Raw genomic sequence first — 14,468 nt, forward strand, 5'->3', positions numbered from 1 at the left:
TTATGTATGCTTTATTATTTATTTATGATATTTTTTTTTGAGACAGAGTTTCACTCTTGTTGCCCAGGCTGGAGTGCAATGGCACGATCTGGGCTCACCGCAACCTCCGCCTCCCAGGTTTAAGTGATTCGCCTGCCTCAGCCTAGCTAGTAGCTGGGATTACAGGCATGTGCCACCACACCTGGCTAGTTTTGTATTTTTAGTAGAGACGGGTTTTTCCATGTTGGTCAGGCTGGTCTTGAAATCCCGACCTCAGGTGATCCGCCTGCCTCAGCCTCCCAAAGTACTGGGATTACAGGCATCAGCCATCACGCCCGGCCTATTTATGTGTTTTTGTAGTGACAAGGTCTCCTATATTGCCCAGGCTGGTCTCGAACTCCTGGCTTCAAGCAATCCTCCTGCCTTGGCTTTCCAAAGTGTTGGGATTATAGGTGTGAGCCACTCTGCCTGGCCTACATATGCTTTAAAAAGATTATACTGTAATACCTCGTTAACAATTCTAAGGAGTGATGTGACTCCCCCAATGCCATGTGATTATTATTTTTCAACAAAAAGTCCGTATTATATTAGAGGCTTAAAAATATCCATTCTTGGCTGGGCGCGGTGGCTCACGCCTGTAATCTCAGCACTTTGGGAGGCCGAGGCGGGCGGATCACGAGGTCAGGAGATCGAGACCATCCTGGCTAACACGGTGAAACCCAGTCTCTACTAAAAATACAAAGAATTAGCTGGGTGTGGTGGCAAGCGCCTGTAGTCCCAGCTACTCGGGAGGCTGAGGCAGGAGAATGGCATGAACCCGGGAGGCGGAGGTTGCAGTGAGCTGAGACCGCACCACTGCACTCCAGGCTGGGCGACAGAGCGAGACTCTGTCTCAAAAAAAAAAAAAAAATCCATTATTGCTGGGCATGGTGGATCACCTGAAGGTGGTCAGGAGTTTGAGACCAGCCTGGCCAACATAGTGAAACTCCATTTCTACTACAAATAGAAAAATTAGCTGGGCATGGTGGCAGGCGCCTGTAACCCCAGCTACTCAGGAGGCTGAGGCAGGAGAATCGCTTGAACCTAGGAGGTGGAGGTTGCAGTGAGCCGAGATTGCACCATTGCACTCCAGCCTGGGCGACAAGAGCGAAACTCCGTCTCAAAAAAAAAACCCAAATGTCCACTCTTGGTCGGGCATGGTGGCTCACGCCTGTAATCCCAGAACTTTGGGAGGCTGAGGCCAGTGGATGATGAGGTCAGGAGTTCAAGACCAGCCTGGTCAACATGGTGAAACCCCGTCTCCGCTGAAAATACAAAGAAGAATTAGCTGGGCATGGTGGTGCACATCTGTAATCTAAGCTACTTGGGAGGCTGAGGCAGGAGAATTGCTTGAACCTGGGAGGCGGAGGTTGCTGTGAGCCAAGTTGGAGCCTTCGTACTCCAGCACGGGTGACAGAGCAAGAGTCCGTCTAAACACATGTCCACACAAAAACTTGTACAGGAATGCTCATATCAGCATTCTTATTAGCCAAAAAGCTGAAACAACCCAAATATCTATCAACTGATAAACTGAGAAATGAGACAAGTAGTAATACATGCTACAACAATCAAACCTTGAAAACATGCTTGGGGAAAGAAACAGACACCAAAGGTTATCTGTTGCATACTTCCATTTATATAAATATTTCTATAAAGATTCCATGTATATAAATATGTCTATAAATATTCCATTCATATAAATATTTCTATATTCCATTTATATAACTATATTTCTATAAATATTCCATTTATATAACTATATTTCTATAAACATTCCATTTACATATATTCATATAATATATTTATATATTGTGTATCTTATGTAATATATAAAATATAATATTTATATAAATAGTCAGAAAAGGCAGATCTGTGGAGACAGAAAGTAGATTAGTGGTTGCCAGGGACTGGGGGAAGGTCCATGAATAATAATGGCTGGTCATGGGCACAAGAGTTTCTTATTGCTGTGATGAAAATGTTCTAAAATTAGATAGTGGTGATGGTTGCATAACCTTGTAGATACACTAAAAAATACTAAACTGCACACTTTAAAAGGACCAACTTTGTAGTATGTAAATCATCTCAACAAAAAATACAACGAAAAGAAAAAGATGAATTAATAAACCCTATTTATTCTTACTTTGGATTTCCTAATGGTCCTCCTGCAAACTGGGAGTTTCTGTCTAGAAATTCCTGCAAACCCTTTAGTTCTTGTAGCACTGACTCTAGCAGTTGGCAGGGAACACTACTTTCAATCTGTAAAAATGAAAGATTTTTCAAAAGTTTAAAAACACACCCTCTGTATAGCTATAATATAAACAATTTTAATTTTGAAATGAGTATCTCTATAGTTATTTCTTGTATCAATTCACACCTGTTGATCCGAATAAAGTATACCTACACACTTCCTCTCCTGCCAGTAACACTGATGCATAACTAACATACAATAAAATACAAATACTAAGAAAACATCTTGATTACTTTTATATATTTTTGTATAGTCATCACCCAGACCACAATACAGAAATTTCCAACACCAAAGAAAGTTTCCTATGTTCCTTTGTAGCCATTAGTCATCCCACCTCTGAGGTAACTACTTTTCTTACTCCTATCAACATAGATTAATTTTACAAGTTTTTAGACTTCCATATATATATATGGAATCATATACTGTGTTAGGCAAATACACTCTTATTCTTAGAAACTTGAACTTTTTTTTTTTTGAGAGACAGCGTCTTGTTGTTGCCTGGGAGTGTAGTGGCGCGGATCATATCTTACTGCAGCCTTGACTTCCTAAGTTCAAGTGACCCTCCTTCCCAATTAGCTGGAAGTACCAGCACATGCCACCACATATCTGACTAATTTTAATCTTATTTTATTTTATAGAAAAGGCATCTGGCCGCGTTGCCCTGGCTGGTCCTGAACTCCTGGGCTCAAGCCTTCCAAAGCATTGTGGTTACAGGCACGGGCCACTGTGCCCAACTCATGAACTTTAAGAGCCTCACAATTAAAAATATATTTGGACTGGGCGTGGTGGCTCACGCCTGTATTCTCAGTGGAGGCCGAGGTGGGCGGATCATTTGAGGTCAGGAGTTCGAGACCAGCCTGGCTAACATAGTAAAACACTGTTTCTACTAAAAATACAAAAAATCAGCTGGGCATGGTGGCGCGCACCTGTAATCCCAGCTACTCGTGAGGCTGTGGCAGAAGAATCGCTTGAACCCAGGAGGCAGGGGTTACGATGGGCCGAGATAATGCCATTGCACACCAGCTTGGGCAACAAGAGTGAAACTGTGCCACTGCACTCCAGCTTGGGCAACAAGAGCAAAAAGCAGTCTGTAAAGTATGCCAATTCATAGAAATTAGTGCTGGGTCCATGGAGTTTTCGTTCATATATATGTCAAAGTATTACATAGTAAAATTTGAGCAATATTAAGTTGCTTGAGTTATCCCTCATGACAACCTTATGAGGGAGATATACTACGCCCCTTCTTTTACCATGAGGTATCAGGCTCTGAAATGTTAAGTAATTTACTCATATTCAGACAGTTAATCAATGTTAGAGATGAGATTTAAACCTGAAGGTAAGCAGTTTGTTGTCCAAGAATGCAAACATATACATAAAAGAATAACCCGCCAGGCGCTGAGGCCCCCTGCCTGTAATCTTAGCACTTTGGGAAGCCAAGGCAGGTGGTTTGCTTGAGTCTAGGAGTTTGAGACTGGCCTGGGCAACATGGTGAAACCCTATCTCTACAAAAACTACAAAAATTAGCCAGGCATGGTGGCGCACACCTGTAATCCCAGGTACTCAGGAGGCTGAGGTGGGAGGATCGCTTGACCCCAGAGGGCAGAGGTTGCAGTAAGCTGAGACTGGGCCACTGCACTCCAGCCTGGGAGACAGAGCAGGACTCTGTCTCAAAAAAAAAAAAAAAAAAAAAAATAACCTTTGCCATCTTATTTGTGTAATATCAGGAAATGTGAAACAATCTAACCATTTATACCATCAACTGGCTACACAAAAATAACAAAATAATATTATACACACTTACTGCAGTGATCTCTCTGTTGCCACTCTTGAATATTCTCTCCACAACTAAGCTTGCATCCCAAATGTTTCTGGAAAAAAAAAAGTTTTAATGATTGTGCTGTAAATGAATAAAAACAATTACAATAAATTTCTTTCTCTAGGAACTTAATGGCTTTATTCAGTTTTTAAAACTTGCAGTGGTTTCATTTAACATTTTACTAAGCTATCTAGAAGAGTGGAATACTAGAAAATTTTCATACCTGATGTACCTAAGTTTTTCAGATAATGAAATATTACTGAAGAAAAATCAAAAGGCTCTGTATAATAAATTGTAAACAGGAAATTTATAAAGGGGCTCTGTACTGTTTCATACTTTTAAGCAAATGAGATGAATGAAATCATACATCTCAAATCTAAGAGAAATATATATTAGGCATGATAGCTAACTAAGATAACATGATAGACTGATTGCAAAAACAACCACATTTCTTTATCCCTCCCTATATCTATCCCCTCTGCAGTATGATTTGATGTCTCTCCCCTAAAAGGTGGTCTATTTCCCACCTTTTAAATCTGAGTTGGCCCTGTGACTTCCCTCTGGCCAAGTGAATAAGGCGGAAAAGTGCATGGTAAGCCAGTTCTGAGTTTAGAATAAAGGTTTTGCAAGTGTCTACTCTTTCTCAAGGAACTCTGCCACCACCAACTAAATAATCTTTGGCTGGCCTGCTGGGGGATGAGAAACCATGTAGAGAACAACCAAGCTGTTTCATCTTGGGCCATTCTAGACCAGCTGGAAAATATAACCTTGAACATGTGAGAGTCTAGCCAAGATAAGCATAGCTCTCTTTAACTTCACAACTGATTGCCTATTCTTGAGTTAGCCCAGCAAGACAAGAACTGCCCTGTTGAACTGTAGACACATGTCACTGAGTTATGGGGAAGTTTGTAACACTGTACATTCATATGTAAGTAGATATACAGTTGACCTTTGAACAATATGGGCTTGAATTGTGTGGGTCCACTTATACACAGATTTTTTTCCCACCTATGCTACCCCAGCACATCAAAACCAACCCTTCCTCTTCCTACTCCTCAGCCTACTCAGCGTGAAGACAAGGATGAAGACTTTTATGATGATCCATTGCCACTTAATGAATAGTAAATATATTTTCTCTTCCTTATGATTTTCTTAATTTTTTTTCTCTAGCTTACTTTATGGTAAGAATATAGTGTATAACACATATAACACAAAATATCAGTGTTACGGCTGTTTTAGAATTTGTCTAGCAGGTTTTCTGGTTTTTACGAGACTCCCCCATACTCCTACACCATGCAAAAGTTAAAAAAAGAAAACACAAAAAACATACAAAACGTGTTAATTGATTACTTATCAGTGAGGCTTCTAGACAGTAGGCTATTAGTAATTAAGAAAGTCAAAAGTTGTACATGAATTTTTGACTACATGAAGGTTGAGGAATGGTGGTTGGCATCCCCTAACCCCTGTGTTAAGGAACAACTGTATTTTGATGCTACAAAAATAGATTATGAGAGAGTAAGAGAAATAAAACACAGCAATGAATATAGTTAGATAACAAAAACTGGAATAATAGAAAAGTTTTATTGATCAACAAGTGAGCTAAAACTAAAATTTAATAGGAATAAATGATGTCCCAAATTCAGAGTTAAAAATATTTAACTACTCAAGATGGGACAAGGTGAGCAATAATTCATTATTTCATGACAAACTTACCCCATGATCCGAGAAAAGTAAATGCAAATACCATTGTGTTTTCCAGAGTACACAATCTCTGGTCCAGTCACACAACTCATATTTGTGGCCTGAGTTGCTGGGTTTCCCAGAGCACACACTGGAGTTGACATGGCAGGAGGCTGTATACCTTGTACACACATAAGAAAAACAAATCTCTTAATCTTAATCTTAGAACCCATAAATCTCTTAATCTTAATCTTAGAACCCATAAATCTCTTAATCTTAGAACCCATAAAATTCAGAATTCTCATAACCCAAGTTTGTGTATCTAGACACAAAGGTATTTACAAAAACAATGAAATACATAGATATTTAACTTGGTTTTCCTTAATAAGAAGAGAGATTTAAATGTGGATGGGTACTCCCAGATAGACTTGCAAGTGTTCACAATGCAGAATGAAAAGGAAACAAACTTGCCAGTACTGCTTGTAATGCTGACAGTGAAATAGAACTGATTACACAGATTTTAGGGTTCAATTTAATCCTGGTAGCCAAATAATGGGCTTTCCAGGCTTATTATAAGAGGAGTTCCTCCTAAATAAAGGCATTCACATCCAAATGCCAAAACTTGCTTGGACAGCGCTTCTAAAATTATATTTATTTTCAAGGGAATAAGGCAAGTTCATCTTTTTCACACTAAGCATTAAGGTTAACTCATAATGTTAGCACTTCAAAATGAATCCAATCCAAAACAAAGAAAAGAGGTACCATGAGACGGTGTTCCCAAAAAGGATGGATTTGGATAGGGACTACCACTAGGAACAGGAGAACCTAAAAAGGGAAAGAAGAATATAAAGATTTAGAAAAGAACATCTCAATCTTTTGAATGTGATCAAAATTAGGTAAAGAAGGTATTTCCTTTTTCTTTTTTTGAGGCAGGGTCTCTTTCTGTGGCCCAGGCTGGAGTGCAGTGGCATGATCTCGGCTCACTGCAACCTCTGTCTCCCGGGTTCAAGCGATTCTCCCGTCTCAGCCTCCTGAGTAGCTGGGATTACAGGCTCACACCACCACAGGCCGGCTACTTTTTGTACTTTTAGTAGAGACATGGTTTCACCATATTGGTCAGGCTAGTCTCAAACTCCCAACCTCAGGTGATCTGCCCGCCTCGGCCTCCCAAAGTCCTGGGATTACAGGTGTGAGCCATTGTGCCTGGCCACAGAAGCTATTTCTAAGCATAAGGAGTTACATTGTCCACGATATATGCAAGAATTAGGGACTGATCTCCTAGTAAGTTTCTAACAACTCCCACCTTGGAAAACACTGATGTGCGAGTTAATTATTAAATCATTCATCTGTTTCCCTCTGAATATATACCAAATGAGTTATGTAAATATGATTGGTTACATCTTATTTTGCTTCCTTACATTAAGGATTCAATATTAATAGATCACTTTTAAGAATCAGAATCTATAGATGTATTCATCAATTATACAATAGCAGTAAATAAAACATAATGAAAAGGCTTATTGATAAAAATTGCTATAAAGGTTCTAAGATTCAAACGATTAGAAACAATTTCATTTCAATGTTCCATACTCACTAGAATAGACAGGAGACCCCAAGATGGGACCAACATTACTTGGAGGCGGAAGAGTGGTTGGAAATCTCATCTGTGCTTCACCACCATACCTATTTTTATGACAAGAGGTTGAGTTTATTCAGTAAAACAAACCATCCATCTTAAAAACTGGAATTGTTCCTTTTCCTGTTTAGCTTCCAAGTAAATGCTTTAAACATTAGAGACTTCAATGTATTGTGCTGACAGTAAAGTATATGCATAAGACTTATAATAAATATTTATTCAGTAAATGTGGACTTGAAACTGCTACCAGGAAGAATTATAAGGGACTCTGATAACTTCTAAGAAAAAGATATGCAATGCATAGAATTTACTTTGTGAGTAAATGGCATTGTAATTTTCATACTAGGTTATGGTTAGATAGTACTTCAAAAAACGTTTCTAACAAAATCACATTTCAAATTCTTAAATATTTTCTAAATAGAAATATCTCTTTGGTACCAAGTTTCCTTAAAGTAATTCAGAAGCCTTCAATACTAATGATACATATTAAGCAGAATTGGCATAGTGTTTGGGGAAGTAAAAAAGATAGATGAGACAGTAACTGAGGTAGAACAAAGTGTAGAAAGTAGACAAGAAGTTACAGAACAGAATCCAGAGTTAAAGTAATAATGCATAAACTATGCTAATTTACTTGCTTCTATTACCATTATAATCTCTCCAGATTTCACCCTTTTGCAAATGAATTTTGGTAATTTGCCTACATAGTCACTCAACTGTTTGGCAAGGCTTTATCACATTGATAAAATCATTTTAAAAAGTGGCCCAGTAAAAAAACAAATAAATAAACAAGAAAAACTTTCACATACCTAAAGAAAGCCCGAGTAGCCCAGGCAGATACTTCTCTATCACAGGCAGCAGTGGAGCAAGCAAGAATAAGGCAAGTTGCACAAGCCTGGTCTTCCTGTGTAAAAAGAGGAATATTGGCCTTATATTAAATACAAATTTTAAAATGATTTGTGTACTGCTAGATGCAGTATTAAAGTCTGTATCTAGCACAGAGCAGGCATTCAATAAATACTTGCTGACTGAATGAAATCAGTTAGTGTTAAAAAGACAAGTAAACACTACTGGTTTTAAGTTCATCATAAGCACTAGGATTACAGGATGTTCTCTTTTCCTTTTAACCTAGATTCTGACTTAGTTTCCGGCTTATGTCTCCAATTTTCTTCCTGTGGTCTTTCTGCTTTCTAGAAAATAACAATTAAGTGGTAACACTGAATACCTACCATGTGTCAGGTACTATTTTAAGAGTTTAGCATATATTAATCCTCATACCACATCCTATTATAATGTATAAGGAAACTGAAGCCCAGAGAAGTCAAGTAATTTACCTCAGTGGTGGAGCTGGGATTTTTAACACAGGTGCTTTGAATCCAGAGTCTGTATACTTAACTTTGAACTACTCCCAATTTTAACCGTATCAATTCCAGTTGTGGCTCTGAAATACTAAGATCTCTACACTGTTGCCTCAGGTTTCTTCCTCAGGTCATTAAGCCAAAACAAACAAACAAACAAACAAACAAACCAAAAACAACTTGTCCCTAAATGTCTTGTGCTTTTAATGAAAAGGCATTTATCATATAACCTGAACAAGAAACTCTTACTAGCAGACTTCAATAAGAATTTATCAACAACAGGCCAGGCATGGTGGCTCACGCCTGTAATCCCAGCACTTTGGCAGGCCGAGGCGGGTGGATCATGAGGTCAGGAGATCGAGACCATCCTGGCTAACATGATGAAACCCCATCTCTACTAAAAATACAAAAAATTAGCCAGGCGTGGTGGGGGGGTCCTGTAGTCCCAGCTACTTGGGAGGCTGAGGCAGGAGAATGGAATGAACCTGGGAGGTGGAGCTTAGAGTGAGCCGAGATCACGCCACTGCACTCTAGCCTGGGCGACAGAGCGAGACTCTGTCTCAAAAAAAAAAAAGAATTTATCAACAACAGAGAATAAAAATCTGAAAGCTCACTACAAGACTCATATTAATCCTGCTTTCAAATGTCAGTTCACATACAGTGACTTAGGCAAAGAAAGGAATATTGTTAAGATTATCTATTTATGGCTGGGCTTGGTGGCTCACGGCCTGTAATCCCAGCACTTTAGGAGGCCGAGGTGGGCGGATCACCTGAGGTCGGGAGTTCGAGACCAGCCTGACCAACATGGAGAAACTCTGTCTCTACTAAAAATACAAAATTAGTTGGGAGTGCTGGCACATGCCTGTAATCCCAGCTACTGGGGAGGCTGAGGCAGAACAATCATTTGAACCTGAGAGGCAGAGGTTGCAGTGAGCCAAGATTGCGCCATTGCACTCCTGCCTGGGCAACAAGAGCGAAACTCCATCTCAAAATATATATATATATTTATTACAGTATTCCAGTCCCAATTTACATAAACTATGACTCCCACTGTTTGTTTAAAATAGCATCACATTTTTTAAAAGTATATATAATTACCTGATGTAATTTAAAGAATCTTTCAATCTCTTCTCCATCTCCTCCCACATTACTCACAAGTAGATGCCTCAGTTGATCTACAGGTCTAAGTTTATGAAACATAAGGCTCCCCTAAGAAATTTGAAGAAAGAACATGAACAAGAGATTTACCAAGATTGGCTGATAGCAACTGACTCTACCTTATTTGATAAAATAAATGAAACAAACAAAAAAAACCATTCAACAATACAAAGTAGGCTGGGTATGGTGGCCCACATTTGTATTTCCAGCACATCACGGGGCTGAGGCAGGAGGAATGGCTGAGGTGATATAAAAAGTACAACTGGTCAAAAAGATCATCTACTTCTCTACTCAACCTCCAGTAGATCTATATATCTATAAAGAAAACTTAATGCAATTGCCCCGGCAAAGCTGCCCCTTAAACCAGAGAATTAAAGTTAGATTATTAATTAATCATGTTGCTACTATTTATATCAATTTAGGCAAAAAAAAAAAAAAAAAAAGCTAGAAACATAGTCATACCTTATACCAGAGTAAATTCCAAATAGATCAAAAGACTTAAAGGACAAAATAAAACTATCATAATATTACGTTGGTACAAAAGCAATTGAGGTTTCTGCCATTACAGCTTTTTTTTTTTTTTTTTTTTTTTTTTTAGACGGAGTCTCGTACTGTCTCCCAGGCTGGAGTGCAGTGGCGCAATCTCGGCTCACTGCAAGCTCCGCCTCCCGGGTTCATGCCATTCTCCTGTCTCAGCCTCCCGAGTAGCTGTGACTACAGGCGCCCACCACCATGCCCGGCTAAATTTTTTTATATTTTTAGTAAAGACGGGGTTTCACTGTGTTAGCCAGGATGGTGTTTTTGCCATTACAATCAATGGCAAAAACCTCAATTGTTTTTGCACCAATCAATAAACAAAAGCAACTAAGAGTGGATTCTTTTATAAACCTTAGTGAGTGGAAGCTTTTCAACTATGACATATTTCAAATGATGGCTGGGCAGATTGGCTCTCGCCTGTAATCTCAGCACTGTGGGAGGATGAGGTGGGTGGATAGCTTGAGCTCAAGAGTTTGAGACGAGCCTGGGCTTTAGTGAGATCCTGTCTCTACAGAAAATACAAAAATTAACTGGGTGTGGTGGCAAACGCCTGTATTCCCAGCTACTCAGGAGGCTGATGTGGGAGGATCCCTTGAGCCTGGGAGGCAGAGGTTGCCGTAAGCCAAGACTGTGCACCACACTCCAGCCTGGGTGACAGATTAAGACCTTGTCTAAAATAAAATAAAATAAATAAAATAAAATATCAACTGATAACTGATAATTTTGACTAATTATAAGCTTGTGTGCCTGGGAAAAATCTCAATAAACAAAGTCAAATAAGAAACCAGGAAGGCTGGGTGCAATGGCTCACACCTGTAATCCCAGAACTTTGGGAGGCCGAGGCAGGCGGACCACCTGAGATCAGGAGTTCAAGACCAGCCTGGCCAACATGGTGAAACCCCATCTCTACTAAAAATACAAAAATTAGCCAGGTGTGGTGGTGTGCGCCTGTAATCCCAGCTACTCAGGAGGCTGTGGCAGGAGAATTGCTTGATCTGGGGAGGCAGAGGTTGCAGTGAGCTGAGATCACACCACTGCACTCCAGCCTGGGTGATGAGCGAGACTCCGTCTCAAAAAAAAAAGAAAGAAAATTATTCAATTAAGCCACTACTTCAGAGAACTTGACAAAAATATTATACATCGCTTATTTTTGTCACTACCATAACAGAATACGTACACACCTGTGCTGAGAGGAGAACAAATTTCTTCGGAGGTAACATGTGCTGCTGTACAACAACTGGTGAATCAGTTATTGGAATATGATCCTTGTTTAAAGGTGTAATTATTTTATCTACTTTCAATTCATCTATCGCAGAAAGAGCCCAGGAATGACCATCAACACCAGCTGTCATCTATGTAAAAGAAATAAATGTTTTATACATCATATTGAAGTTACATAATGCAAAAGAAAAAACTACAGACTTAATAAAGAAGTAAATTTAATAAATAGTACATTAACATGAATATTTTTGAAAGTATTATGTAATTTTCTACTATCTTTTTTTTAAATCAGGTATTTTCTGGGTTTTTGTTTTTTGTTTTTTTTTTGAGACGAAGTTGTCTAGGCTGGAGTGTAGTGGAGTGATCTTGGCTCACTGTAACCTTTGCCTCCCGGGTTCAAGTGATTCTCCTGCCTCAGCCTCCCTAGTAGCTGGGATTACAGCCATATGTCACCACGCCCAGCTAATTTTTTATTTTTAGTGGGGACGGGGTTTCTCCATGTTGGTCAGGCTGGTCTTGAACTCTCGACCTCAGGTGATCCGCCCACCTCGGCCTCCCAAAGCGCTGGGATTACAGGCATGAGCCACCACACCTGGCCTCTGGGGTTTTTTTTTTTTGAGACAGCATCTTACTCTGTCACCTAAGCTGGAGTGCGCTGGCACGATCACAACTCACTGCAACCTCGACCTCCCTGGGTTCAGTTGATTCTCCCACCTCAACCTCCCAAGTAGCTGGGACTACAGGAGAATGCTACCACGGCCGCCTAATTTTTCTATGTTTTGTATGAACAGGGTTTTACCATGTTGCCCAGGATGTTCTCGAACTCCTGGGCTCATGCAGTCTGCCCATCTTGGCCTCTCAAAGTGCTAATCAGGCATTACCTTTTTTTTTTTTCTGAGGCAGAGTCTCACCCTGTTGCCAAGGCTGGAGTGCAGTGGCCTAATCAGAGCCCACTGTAACGTCTGCTTCCCAGGTTCATGCAATTCTCCTGCCTCAGCCTTCCGAGTATCTGGGATTAGAGACGCACACCACCATACCCGGCTAATTTTTGTATTGTTATTAGAGACTGGCTTTTGCCATGTTGGCCAGGCTGGTCTCAAACTCCTGACCTCAGGTGATCTGCCTGCCTTGGCCTCTTTCCAAAGTGCTAGGATTACAGGCGTGAGCCACCATGCCCAGCCATAAGCAGGCATTTTCTATACTAATACATAAATCTTTTTGTACTAGAGGACAAGGGCAAACTTTTCTCAAGATAAACTATAAATACTCTTTAATAAAATTATAATTCTCTTAACCAAGTAACTACCTTCTACCATCTTTCCAGGATCAACTAAATCTGCTAAGATACTATCTTTCCTTTAAAAAGTATTTTACTGGCTCGGCGAGGTGGCTCACGCCTATAATCCCAGCACTTTGGGAGGTGGAGGCGGGCGGTACCCGAGGTCAGGAGTTCGAGACCAGCCAGGCCAATGTGGTGAAACCCTGTCTCTACTAAAAATAGAAAAATTAGCCGGGTGTGGTGGCACACGCCTGTAATCCCAGCTACTCTGGATGCTGAGGCAGGAGAACTGCTTGAGCCCGGGAGATGGAGGTTGCAGTGAGCCGAGATTGTGCCACTGCACTCCAGCCTGGACGACAGAACAAGACTCTGTCACAAAAAAAAAAAAAAAAAAGTATTTTACCAGCCTAGGCAATATAATGAAGTCCCATCTCTACAAAAAATAAAAAACCACCTCGGTGTGGTGGCGTGTGCCTGTATTCCCAGCAACTCAGAAGGCTGAGGTAGGAGGATTGCTTGAACCCAGGAGTTTGAGGCTATAGTGAGCTATCTATGCCACTGCACTCCACTCCAGGCAACAGAGCAAAACCCTGTCTCAGAAAAAAAAAAAAAAAAAGTATTTTAATCTTCTAAAATACTTTATAATAAAAAAATTCAAGCAGCCAAAAATGTTGAATATACAGTAAAAGTCCACATGCCCAATACCTAGACTCAACAATTGTTAGCAGTTCGCCATATCTGCATTCTCTCTCTTTCTGTATATTTGTTTTATTGTACTATTTGAAAGTATAGACATCATTTATCACTCTTAAATACTTTTGCACATATCTCCTAAAAATAAGAATGTTTTCTTACAAACCATATAATAACATTTAAAAATGTTATTGGCTGGACGACACGGCTTACACCTGTAATCCCAACACATTGGGAGACCAAGGCAGGTGGATCCCTTAAGCTTAGGAATTCGAGACCAGCAGGGGCTACATGGCAAAACCCTGTCTCTACTAAAAATACAAAAAAATTAGACAAGAGTGGTGGCATGTGCCTGTAGTCCCAGCTACATGGCGGGGAGGGGGTGGCGGGTGCTGAGGTAGGAGGATCCCCTGAGCCTGGGAGGCAGTTGCAGTGAGCTCTGATTGTGCCACTGTACTCCAGCCTGGGCAACAGAGTGAAACCTTGTCTCAAAAAAAAAAGTTATCAATTCCCTAATATAATTTAACACCTAACCAATATAAAATTTACCCAGCTGTTCTAATGTCTTTTATGACTATTTTTGATAACTAGGATTTGATCAAAGCTCATACACTATACTTGATGAGTTTTTTTGTTAAAAACAAAAGTCCACCTTTGTTTGAGAAAAACTCAAATATTAAATCAAATTATATGACATGCAGCATTTGTTCTAAAAAAAAAGTTAGGTGGAGGACAGTGTCTCACACCTGTAATCCCAGCAGTTTGGGAAGCCAAGGTGGGAGGATCGCTTGAGCCCAGGAGTTCAAGACTAGTCTGGGCAATATAGT

General features: G+C 40.0%; 1 protein-coding gene and 1 pseudogene across 6 annotated transcripts in view, besides 1 other annotated feature; one reads left to right on the top strand and one right to left on the bottom strand.

The window, feature by feature from the left end:
• NUP155 (nucleoporin 155) overlaps positions 1 to 14,468 on the bottom strand; it is an 82,970-nt gene that overhangs the window by 33,697 nt on the left and 34,805 nt on the right. For 5 of the 6 annotated variants that reach the window (NM_001278312.2, NM_153485.3, NM_004298.4 and 2 more), the window contains exons 13-20: positions 11,630 to 11,800; positions 9,852 to 9,962; positions 8,205 to 8,299; positions 7,357 to 7,445; positions 6,525 to 6,587; positions 5,796 to 5,943; positions 4,068 to 4,134; positions 2,159 to 2,274 (exon numbers count right to left, since the gene is read on the bottom strand). In NM_001278312.2, coding sequence (NP_001265241.1) covers positions 2,159 to 2,274; positions 4,068 to 4,134; positions 5,796 to 5,943; positions 6,525 to 6,587; positions 7,357 to 7,445; positions 8,205 to 8,299; positions 9,852 to 9,962; positions 11,630 to 11,800 — 860 coding nt within the window. The remainder of the gene's footprint in view (positions 1 to 2,158; positions 2,275 to 4,067; positions 4,135 to 5,795; positions 5,944 to 6,524; positions 6,588 to 7,356; positions 7,446 to 8,204; positions 8,300 to 9,851; positions 9,963 to 11,629; positions 11,801 to 14,468) is intronic. The other variant, XM_047417935.1, reaches the window with a different exon arrangement.
• RNU7-75P (RNA, U7 small nuclear 75 pseudogene) lies at positions 5,302 to 5,362 on the top strand (annotated as a pseudogene).
• Positions 8,441 to 8,641: a silencer, noted in NCBI's record as "peak5230 fragment used in MPRA reporter construct". NCBI's record gives its function as "represses an SCP1 promoter by STARR-seq MPRAs in K562 erythroleukemia cells {active_cell/tissue: K562}" and the evidence as "EXISTENCE:reporter gene assay evidence [ECO:0000049][PMID:32103011]".

Source organism: Homo sapiens, chromosome 5 (genome assembly GCF_000001405.40).
Source record: "Homo sapiens chromosome 5, GRCh38.p14 Primary Assembly".
NCBI classification, from domain to species: domain Eukaryota; kingdom Metazoa; phylum Chordata; class Mammalia; order Primates; family Hominidae; genus Homo; species Homo sapiens.